This window comes from Homo sapiens, chromosome 5, assembly GCF_000001405.40.
Source record: "Homo sapiens chromosome 5, GRCh38.p14 Primary Assembly".
In the NCBI taxonomy this organism is placed as follows: Eukaryota; Metazoa; Chordata; class Mammalia; order Primates; family Hominidae; genus Homo; species Homo sapiens.
Genome location: NC_000005.10, coordinates 100,031,092 through 100,043,225, shown reverse-complemented (window position 1 = coordinate 100,043,225; position 12,134 = coordinate 100,031,092).

Here is a 12,134-nt window from a genome sequence, read left to right as displayed (position 1 = left end):
AAGAAGAAGAAAAGTACTTAGCAAGCCAATAACAATAACAATTTAAGCAATGAGAGATTAAAATTATGTAATAAAGATCAAGGAGAACAAAAAAGGAAATGGCAAGATTGTAATGACAAGTTTTGAAATTGCTGCATGTCTATTACAATTTATTTTAAATAACATAAACTAAATAAAAGTTCTTTTAACTTTCATTAACATTAGTTAAAATATCAATGAGAAACTCTCTTGTTGGGCAAAGACTTATTTTACTTATGTTTGCTTATAGGACAAATGACGTGACCTTGCTTTTTCTTTATATTGATTTTAAACATGTGGCATAGCACACAGGGACATAATGCAACTAAAAACACTGCAGAAGATTAACAGAAATAATCTAATGTGTTCTGGGTGGGAAATTTCTGTGCCAAGTTTCTTAAAATATTTTGCTCACTTCATTAATACTTATTTGGATTTTCATTGACTTTTGGAAAGAATGAGATTTAGTAGTTAGATATAAAAGTGAAAAAACCTCCAGAATCCCTTTGGGTTCCCTATTGACTTGAATAAATGTAGCCAAACAACCTTCGGCCCATGTATTTACGTATGTGTACATATTGCTCCTGGATCAAAATAAAAATCTGTGCATTATCCCAAATCTACATGAGAATCTCAGACATTAAAAAATTATAAAATTATAATGTTAGGGATGAGTAATTTTTCCTATTAGTAATTTTTTTTCACTTTTAGACACCATAAGAGATATAAATAAGCAGCTCATAATGTTTTTTGAGATTCTCAGAACTTGGTTCTGGGAAATATTACCTTGAGGTAATTTGCAAAAAAAGTAACTAGTAGAAATGAGGAAATAATCATAGTTAATTTAATTTAAATACCTTTTTTAAATTTAGTGACAAATTTACAAATTTAATTAGTTTCAAAGGTTTTTCTTTATTTTTGGAAGGGTTAAAGCACTGTAAGTAGAGCCTAGGAATGAATGGACAGTAAGTAACTATTCAATTTGATAATATATTAGGCAGTTTCTAGAAAGCTTTATTACCTTATAAAACCAAAGGCATGAACAGAGCTTTAAGATCATCTAGTCTAGTTATTAGAACATTTTTCTAAGAAATAATCTCTTGGCTGCCACTAAGGTCAGGGTATGTAATAGATTGAGTTTAGCCCCTTTACCATTATTCAAACAGATCTGTTCTGAGTTTACCTTTTATATATAGCAGTTCCATAAAAGTTTCATTGCAAAAAATGGTTAAGTTGCTTAAAACAGTTTGAAATGCACTGCTTTACACTATACTTTAGAGGTGAGAAATTTCTTCTCACCTGAGAGCCAGAGTGGAAATGGTTTTTATATCATGAAGTTAGTGCTTTGAACTTTGAAATCATTAAAGCACTATTTTTTCTCATATGTTAAGCCCTCAGTGATACCTGTCCTAAGACCCTCAACTCCCTGCTCTCTCTGTAACAGGTGCACTCACCTCCCCTTTTATTTTATTTTATTTTTTTAATAATTCAAGAATGCTTCTGCCCTAAAGACTTCACCCTGGATGTTCTCCGTGGCTGAAATGGCCTTTCCCAAGATAACTGCATATGTCTTTCCTACAACTTGAAACTAGAAGAACAAGGCAAATTTGAGACAACCAGTTTTTCTGTGATTTGCTTACTAATGTTTCTCCAGAACCCAGAACAGTGCTTAGAACATAGTGGATTCTCAATAAATATGTGATTATTGGAAGAAAAGAAGCAGTTAGAAGTGAACTGATTAGCTAAATGTTCAAGTAATATTGAACTATTTGCATGTCTATTTCTTAATTTTTAAAGCCATCTTTTTCATGTCAATTATGCAATAGTAACCACATTTGCATTACGGGTTTATTGATAATAATTTGTTTTAAGGAAAATCTGCCCCTTTTTCATTAATATATGTATATGTAATTTGAGATAAAATTTCAATGATTATTTTTAGATACATGAAAATTTGGGCATTGCCTCTTAACAAGATTACATTTTTTATTATTATGTAATCAGCTATCACTTAGCTCACAAATTTAGGCAAAAATCTTGATTAAAATTACCACTGTTATTTTAAAATAATGTAATTCTGCTTCTTACTCTGAATCAGACACCCACTCTGCCATACACATCCGGAGGATTTTCTTGATTAAAACACTGAGTTATCTAATTACTTCTGTGCCCTATAAATATATAGCATATGTTGAAAAAGTAGAAGCATGAGACTTTTTAAAATAGATTTTCTATTTATCTTTCTTACTTAAAATTTTAACCCATGTTAGTTAATTATCTTTAAGCATTAAAGTTTCCCAATAAAATGTGCAATTTGTGCTCTCTGTTATGCTCATTTCCATTTTTGGAAATATTGTTAAGCTTGTTTGAATATACTTGAAGCACTAATAACAAGGAAAAGCTTATTTTCTCCATAGAAAAATTGGTTGTCTTAATTTTGCCTCGTTCTTCTAATTTCAAGTGTTTTTTTTCCAGTTATATGGTGACTTTTATGTATTCTAGAGAAATTACCACTAATCCAAGTGCATATAAAAATTACTCATCAAATAATTAATAGTAATCATCACCACTTTGTATATTTGTATTTTCTCTGCATGTATTTCTCAACAATTGTGCTTCTTTCTTTTCCAGAATATAAAACTTATATTTCCTAAAACATTCCTTTTAAATTTTAACTCTTGTGTGTATGTGTGTGTGTGTGTGAGAGAGAGAGAGAGAGAGACAGATTTCAGCTTGAGAGTAAGCTATGTTAAACTTTATCACCAATAAATCTCATAAATGTCTGGATGTGTCTAGACTCAAAGAATGGTGCCTTGATTAAGTGAAAGTCTGTTTTATTGGGAAGCCGAATAAATTTTGGGGAAAGCACTAATTCTAAGGAAAGAGGGTGTCAGACCCAAGGCAGGCACAATAATAATACTTTTCTAATTCCCAGGAACAGGACCTGGCACATCACTGCAGCACAATTAATATTTTAAGTGTCTGGTTAAAAGAACAGCTGAGAGTAAAGTATAGTCACTTCCATCTACATTTTTAAATTCAGCCTAAATGCCATAAACTTGTATGTGAATCCAACAGAGAAGGATATTAAAAACAAACAAATTAAAAAACCCCAAAACCTAAAGATGTAGGTCAAGATGTTATTTTTACCCACACAGACACACTCACACATGCCTGGACACACACAGTCTCTACAATATAGTGAAAAAGAAAGCAGCATTGCTCAGAGACAAATACAGAAATGTAGACGTGTGTGTATGTGTGTGTGTGTGTCTGTGTGTGTTGTGTGTAACAATAGAGCTCAATTATCTAGGCTTTTCACACAAAAAAAAACATAGGGCAGCTTTGGCTCAGAAGGATAATTCATTCTGCCTTTGGCCATAATAACCTCCTAATTATGGCCACTGTTTATTCTGCCTTCCTCATTGCTTTTGCTTATTTCTTCTTCCTGAAACAGTAATTATTCACTACCCCTCTCTCTGTTTCTCTCTTTTTCACACACCCCCACAGACACACACACCTACACACACAGAGTTCTCATCTGGCTAGCTCCTAGTCAATTTTACAAAACCTCTAGGCCTAAATTTAATTCCTTTGAAAGAAATCAGTGAAATTAGGCTCCATTTTTAATTTTCCCTCAGACTACCCTACATTTTGTTTTACAATATTATGATTCATAATTCCATATTAATTATTCATCGTCTGGCTCACCCAGTAGGGTGTGAAGCTCATCAGGCTAGATTATTTGACTGTATTATTCCACAATATAACTCAGCATATAACACACAGTGAAGATGTGCTAAGAATTTGGTGAGTGACTTGATGATTGGAGACTGGCCTTTGGGCCCATGTTCCAGCAGCTCCCCTGGCAGCATGTTGTGCATCTGTGGCTGAAGGAGCCATAATATAAAAAAAGAACTGACAATGGGAAATGTTGTCTTGGCATCTTTTAGGGCAATAGCAGCTGGGACTCTTTGCAGAAATATTAGCCTTCTTGAATATGGGATTCCAGCAGTGGTAGCAAGTGCTATTATTACTTGATTATAGCTCAGAAACATGTTTATTCTTATCAGTTCTCATCCCTTACATTATAACTGCTGTCAAAGCCTCTATTCCACCTTCAAATTGAAGGTAATTTTAATGAGTCGTTTTATTAAACTCATTGGAATTTTATTAAAATTCAACTTTTATTAAACACTGAGAATGACCAATTTTGTGTATGTACAGATATCAAACAACATAGAACTGTCCTCACTCAAGAACGAATAATAAAGAAATAATACCTCCAACATGGGACCTAGTGATTTCATGCAACAAATACTTATGAAATATTATCAATATACGGAGGAGAAAGCAAACCTTTGAAAGAGAGAAAAACATTTTTGAAACCACTACTGTTATTGGGGTCTAGTATTTTGGTACCCTAGAGAAAACTGTAGGATCTACTCTCCGTTTTTGAAGGTAGCTTAGAAGGTAACCTTTGGCATGTTAATTTACACAGAGTTAACAAAATTTCCCATGTTTTGTAGGCAAATATTTATGGTGACTCTGTTAAGCTAGAGATGGATCTTCTATTTATCCTTGATTGAATTATTCAGAGGTAATCATTCTTATATGTTTTGAAGTAGTTCTTCCAAATGAATTTAGGGAATACTGCATCCCATATTGTATTCCTATGTCCCAGGACTTAACCACTTTCATTCCATTTATCTATCTATCCATATACATTCTTCCATGTGCTATCTACTATTTATTAAATTTTAATTATGCCATTAATGTGTTATATACATTTAAAATGTTAACATATTTATCGCTTACAGCAACCATTTGGAACGAATATGGGTGCTGAAAAGCCTATTTCCCTGACAAGTAGATTCATTAATGTGACTTTCAATTACTTGTTCAAGATGAGACATCTAGTAGATAGTGAAACTGAACCGTGAACTCATGCCCTTATGCAGGGGTTTGTGATACTCACAAATACACATCTCCAAAATTAGGGTTACTGTATCAGGTTGTAAAATACCAACTTCTTCCCTTTTGCATAATACTAGATTAGAATCATGAAATGTAAGATAAAACGTAGAGCAGAGTGATGAAATGAACTGAAGCAGAAAGCAGAAGACAAAATGGCTTTGCTTGCCTCGGAAAAAATTTCGAAATAATTGGAAAAATAGTTGTAGAAGTTCACGCCTCTGATAGACTGTAGGTGTGTGAACATCTTCAATTTTATCATAACAAACCTGGGTATGTAATTTCCTAGTCCTATCTATATTTTATTGATTAATCCATTTATTTATGGATTAATTTATTGATTGATTCCTGGGTTACCCCATCTTTGCTTTCTTTTAAGTAATTTTATGAGAATTTTGATGGCACTGCTAAGCTAGCAAATATTTTACTTTGAAAGTTTCTAAATATTCTCTAATTCAAAGGAATTATTCACCAATTTTGAGATTACATTTTCTTAAAAAATAATCTACCTATTTAAGGAATAACTTTAGGTTGAAGATATTAGATTTTCATTGTCCAGATGTATTTTTATTATTTTATTACATATTTTCTTTATGATAAGTTTATCTTATTTAATATATAGTCGAATGGAAACTAGTTATGGGCTTAATCCACTGTATTTTGTTGTTGTTTTCAGTGTCATAAACTATACCTGGTCCCTGGACATCTGACTCATACATAAAAGCCACTGGTTACAATGGAAATTGATTAGGAAAATGATGTTATAATTCTCAGCATTACTGTAAGGTAATTTAAAATATATCTGCTCTCATGATGGGATACATGCATTACTGATTTAGAAAGGTGATATTTTATCAAAGCATGTGGAAGTCTGTATACGGGAAACATTCTTGATTCTCATTCTTTGTCTCTGTCTCAATATGTTTCCCTTTTTGTTTCTATGTATATGTATCATACATATATATACAGTCATGCACCACATAACAATGTTTAGGTCAATGATGGACCGCATATACAATGATGGTCCTATAAGATTATAGTACAGTAATTGTACTGTATCTTTACTATGTTCAGATATGTTTAGATACCCAAACAGTTACTATTGTTTTACAATTCTCTATAGTATTAAGTACAGGAGCATGCATTTCTTGGAATGTATCCTTCTCATTAACGAATGCATGTCTGTATCTATGTCTATCTATATCTATTTTGCTATCCTCTCTCTCTCTTCTTTCTCTGTTCTGTAACTTTCTGTATTATTTTCTGCCTCTTGGTTCAGTCTGTCTCTCTCTCCCTGTCTCTGTTTCTCTTTCTCAAATTGTTTATTCAGGTGGAAAATAGAAAAAGATAAATAGTTCACTGGAACTTGTAACATGTATGTCAAGTTGAAATTGGTGAATATGACCCCTAGTGTGAAATATCATACTTAAGAAGTTAAAGTACAGCTGTAAAATTTAGAAGATTGTCTTTCCTAAAAAAGCAAGAATTAAGCTAGATAATTTTAATGAAAATCTCACTACAAAAGATGTGTAAATATAAACATTGTTCATAAATGTGCTAATTTATCTTTCCTGCTAAGAAAATCATTCTGATTATCTTATAGTCAATATCCAACAGTATAAATACACAGGAAAATTTATTTGAAAAGGAAATGTATTGTTTCAGTTTGTAGAAAGGTTAGAAAGAATACTTTTTAAAAACATACATAATGCTAAAAATTACACTGAGAAAAAAGGAGCAAACATAAAAATTCCCAGATCAATTAGCATCTTTAAAATTTTTAATCCTTTTTAGTTTCCTGGGAAGTTGATATACATAGAGGTTATAGTAACTATTGTTTGTTAACATTTGTAAATTACTTGAAAAAAAGGAATAGCAAATTGCCTTGACAATTATTTTTCAGTGAAATATTATAATGGTGATTTTGTTTTAAAAATGTACTCATGGTAAAAGCGATTTTATTTTCAAAGTAAATTTTATGATAATGATCATTATATATTTTCACTTACTTAGCATTCTCAATTTACAGTGGTTTTCCCAAAGTAAACAATGATGAGATTTTTAGACTATTTTGAGTTACCTCTTTTGGGCAGTTCAGTTCTAGGTTGAGACATATTTGAAAGCATAATTGAAATTAATCACTCTCTTAATTAATATAGCCTTATATTAAGACATAATACATGATAGAATGTCTCCATGCTTCTACTCTTTTTTCTTCAAAAGAGCTGGTTAGCCTTAACCATTTTGTATAATTATTAGAATCACCTTGTCAAGTTCTGTAAGTAAACTTTTTGGAGTTTTGATTGGAATTCTATTGAATCTAGATAGTTTGAAGATAAGATAATAACCGCATATGTTTCCAATTTTAACAAAAATAATGATTCATCTTTTGAATTACATATTCCTTAATGTATATTAGTAAAATTATATAATATCCCTGTAGAAATCTGATGTTTCCTGTTTGATTTATACCTATATATTTTATATATAAGAATGGATGTGATAACTTAGATTTGGATTTTTCCTGTTTACAACTGGTATAAAAAATTACAATTCACTAATGTACATTAATTTTGTATCCAGCCAGCTTATTAAACTCAACTATTATTTTAAAATTTTGTTTGTAGATCGTTTTAAATATTCTGGGTAAATGATCATATCACTTGAAAACAAGCTGTATTCTGTCCTTTCTCATGCTTACACCACTAAATTATATTTCTGGTCTTATACTATTGACTAGAGGCTATAATATTAAATTGGTGTAGTTGACATTTTCTTCTTACTCCTGATTTAAAAGGGAATGTTCATAAAGTTGTTATATTTATTATATAGTTAGCTCAGGTTTTTCTTGTTTATTTATTTAAGTATTCTGTGCAAAGCTAAATAATTTCTTTTAAGTGCTCAAGTTCTTTTTTAAAAATAGTGACTTGGTAATGAACTTTATAAAGTGCTTTGAGATGATCATATGGTTTCCACTTTAATTTTTTAAAGGCCTGAAATTTATTCATTTACTCACTTGGTTTTTTCACACAGATTTTATTGGATGTATAATTTAAAAATCAAATATTTTACCCATTTTAAATGTAAAATTCAGTGTTTAGTAAATTTACGGAGTTGTATATCTATCACTACAATCTAATTTTAGAATGTTTCCATCAGTCCGAAAATATCCATCGTGTCGAGCCCATTTGCAGTCATTTCCTGATTTTGCCTCCAATCCTAGACAACCACTAATCTATTTTCCATCTCTGTAGATTTTCCTTTTCTGGGCTTTTCACATAAATGGAATCATGCAATATATGGTCTTTCATGTCTGGCTATTTTCATTTAGCATAACATTCTTGAAGTTCATCCATATTATCAGTATTTCATTCCTTCTTATGGCTGAAGTGCGTTCAATTCTGTGGCTATAACTCTTTTTTATGAGTATGGACTAGATGTATATATTAATGGAGTACATGAGATATTTTGATAGAGGCATACAATGTGTAATAATCATATCAGGGTAAATAGGATATCCATCATCTCAAGTATTTATCATTTCTGTGTCACAAACATTCCTATTATACACCTTCAGTTATTTTTAAATGTACAATAAATTATTGGGTTTTGTTTTGTTTTGTTTTTTCAAGATGAAGTCTCGCTCTGTCTTCCAGGCTGGAGTGCAGTGGTGCGATCTCGGCTCACTGCAACCTCTGCCTCCCGGGTTCAAGCAATTCTTCTGCCTCAGCCTCCCGAGTAGCTGGGACCACAGGAGCGTGCCTCCATGCCTGGTAAGTTTTTTTGGTATTTTTTAGTAGAAATGGGGTTTCACCATGTTGGCCAGGATGGTCTCGAACTCCTGACCTCAGGTGATCTGCCCCCTTTGGCCTCCCAAAATGCTGGGATTACAGGCGTGAACCACCGTGCCCAGGCAATAAATTATTGTTGACTGTAGTGATCTTGTTGTGCTATCAAATATTAGGCCTTATTCATTCTATCTAACTATAGTTTTGTGCCCATTAACCATCCCTAATTCCCCCTACAACCCCTAATATGCTTTTCAGCATCTAGTAATGATCCTTCTACTCTCTATCTCCATGAGTTCAATTGTTTTAATTTTTAGCTCACACAAACGAGTGAGAACATGCAAAGTTTGTCTTCCTGTGCCTGGCTTATTTCACTTAACATAATGTCCTCCAGTTCCATCCATGTTGTTGCAAATGGCAGGATCTTATTCTTTTTTATGACTGAATACAGTACTTCATTGTGTATATGTACCACATTTTCTTTATCCATTTTTCTGTTGATGGGCACATAGGTTGCTTCCAAATCTTGGCTATTGTGAATAGCACATCAATAAGCATGAGACTGCAGATATCTCTCCAATATATTGATTTCCTTTCTTATGAATATATACCTAGCTAGATGATTGCTAGATAATATAGTAGTTCTAGTTTTAGTTTTTCGAGGGACCTCCATACTGTTTTCCACAGTGGCTGTACTAATTTATTTGATACATTCCCACTAAAAGTGTAGAAGGGTTCCCTTTTCCCCACAGCCTCACCAGCATTTGTCATTGCCTGTCTTTTGGATAAAAGCCACTTTAACTGGAGTGAGATGATATCTCATTGTAGTTTTGATTTGCACTTCTTTCATATTCAGTGTTGTTGAGCACCTTTTTATATACCTGTTTGCCATTTATATGTCTTCTTTTGAAAAATGTGTATTCAGATGTTTTGCCCATTTTTAAATCAGATTATTAGATTTTTTCTTATTGAGTTGTTTGAGCTCCTTATATATTCTGGTTATTAATCACACATGTCAGATGGAGAGTTTGCAAATATTTTGTCCAATTTTGTAGGTCATCTCTTCACTTTGTTGATTCTTTCTTAGCTGTGCAGAAGCTTTTTAACTTAATGTAATCCCACTTGTCCACTTTTTGCTTTGGTTCCTGTGCTTGTGGGGGATTGTTCAAGAAAACTTTGCCCAGCAAATGTCTTGGATGTCCTGGAAAATACAGTTTCAGGTCCTTGATTTCAGTCTTTAATTCTTTTTTTATATAATTAGAGGGGGGAGTTTAGTTTCACTCTTCTGTATATGGATATCCAGCTTCCCCAGCATCATTTATTGAAGAGATTGTCCTTTCCCCAATGAATTTTCTTGACACCTTTGTCAAAATGAGTTCACCATAAATGTGTGATTTATTTCCAGGTTCTCTATACTATTCCATTGGTCTGTGTGTCTGTTTTTATGCCAGTAGCATGCTACTTTGATTACTATAGTTTTGTGATATAATTTGAATTCAGGTAATGTGATTCCTCCAGTCTTGTTCTTTTGGCTCAAAATGGTTTTGACTATTCTGATTATTTCGTAGTTCCATATGCATTTTAGGATTATTTTGTCTATTTCTGTAAAGAATGTTATTGATATTTTAACTGGATTGCATTGAGTGTATAGATTATTTTGGGTAGTATGGACATTTAGAAAATATTGATTCTTCCATTCCAGAAACATGGGGTATATTTACATTTTATTGTGTCCTCTTCAATGTATTGCATAAATATTTAACAATTTTCATTTTAGAGATCTTTCACTTCTTTGGTTTATTCCTAGGTATCTAATTTTTTTGTAGTTATTGTAAATAGGATTACTTTATTGCTTTCTTTTTCAGAATATTTGCTGTTGGCATATAGAAACAATACTAATTTTTGTATGTTGATTTTGTATACTGGAACTTTACTAAATAGTTTTATTTGTTTATTGATGTGATCTTTAGATTTTTCCAATTATAAGATCATATCATCTAGAAACCGGGATAATTTTATTTCTTCCTTTGCAATTTAGATTCCCTTTATTTCTTTCTTTTGTCCAACTGCTCCAGCTAGAACTTTCAGTACCAAGTTGAATAATAGTCATTAAAGTGGGCATCCTTGTTGTGTTCCAGATTTTAGAAGAAAGGCTTTCAGTTTTTCCTTATTCAGTATGATACTAGCTGTAGGTCTGTTTTACATGGCTTTTATTGTGCTGAGGTATGATCCTTCTATTCCCAATTTTTTAAGGGTTTTTATCATGAAGAGATGTCGAATTTTATGAAATCCTTTTTCAGCATCAATTAAAATGTGGTGTAAGCATGAGAAAGGACAGAATACAGCTTGTTTTCAAGTGATATGATCATTTACCCAGAATATTTAAAACAATCTACAAACAAAATTTTAAAATAATGATTCATCTTTTGAGTTACATATCTTTAATGTATATTAGTAAAATTATATAATATTTTTAAAATAATAGTTGAGTTTAGTTAGCTGGCTGGATACAAAATTAATATGCATTAGTGAATTGTAATTTTTTATACCAGTTGCAAACAGGGAAAATCTAAATCTAAGTTATCACATCCATTCTTATATATAAAATATACAGGTATAAATCAAACAGGAAACATCAGATTTCTACAGGGATATTATGTAATTTTATCCTTCATTCTGTTGATAGGATGTATCATATTGTTTGATTTCCCTGTGTTGAAACCTTTTTACATACCTAGGATAAAACTCACTTGGTCATGATGAATAATCTTTTTAATGTGTTGTTGAATTCAGTTTGCTAAATTTTGTGGAAGATATTTGCACCAATGTTAATCAGGGATATTGGCTTGTATTTTTTTCTTTTTTGATGTGTCTTTTAATGGTTTTGGTATCAGGGTAATACAGGCCAAATAGAATGAGTTTGGAAGTATTCCCTCCTAATCTTTTTTCAGAATAGTTTGACTAGAATTTATATTAATTCTTCTTCAAATGTTTGGTGGAACTCAGCAGCGAAGCCATCATGTCTGGGGCCATTTTTTGCTGGGAGACTATTATGGCTTCAATCTCGTTACTTGTTATTGGTGTACTGAGGTTTTAGATTTATTCATGCTTCACTCTTGTAGGGCTATGTATGTTTAAGAACTTGAACATTTCTTCTGGGTTTTCCAATTTATTAGTTTGTAGTTGCTTATTGTAGTTTCTAGTGATCCTCTGAATTTATGTGGTGTCAGTTGATAGTATCCTTTTTCGTCTCTGATTTTATTTGGGTATTCTGTCTTTTTTTCTTCATCTTGTTGACCCTTTGTATTGTTTTTTGTTTTGTTTTGTTTTGTTTTAATATCATTCATTTCTGCT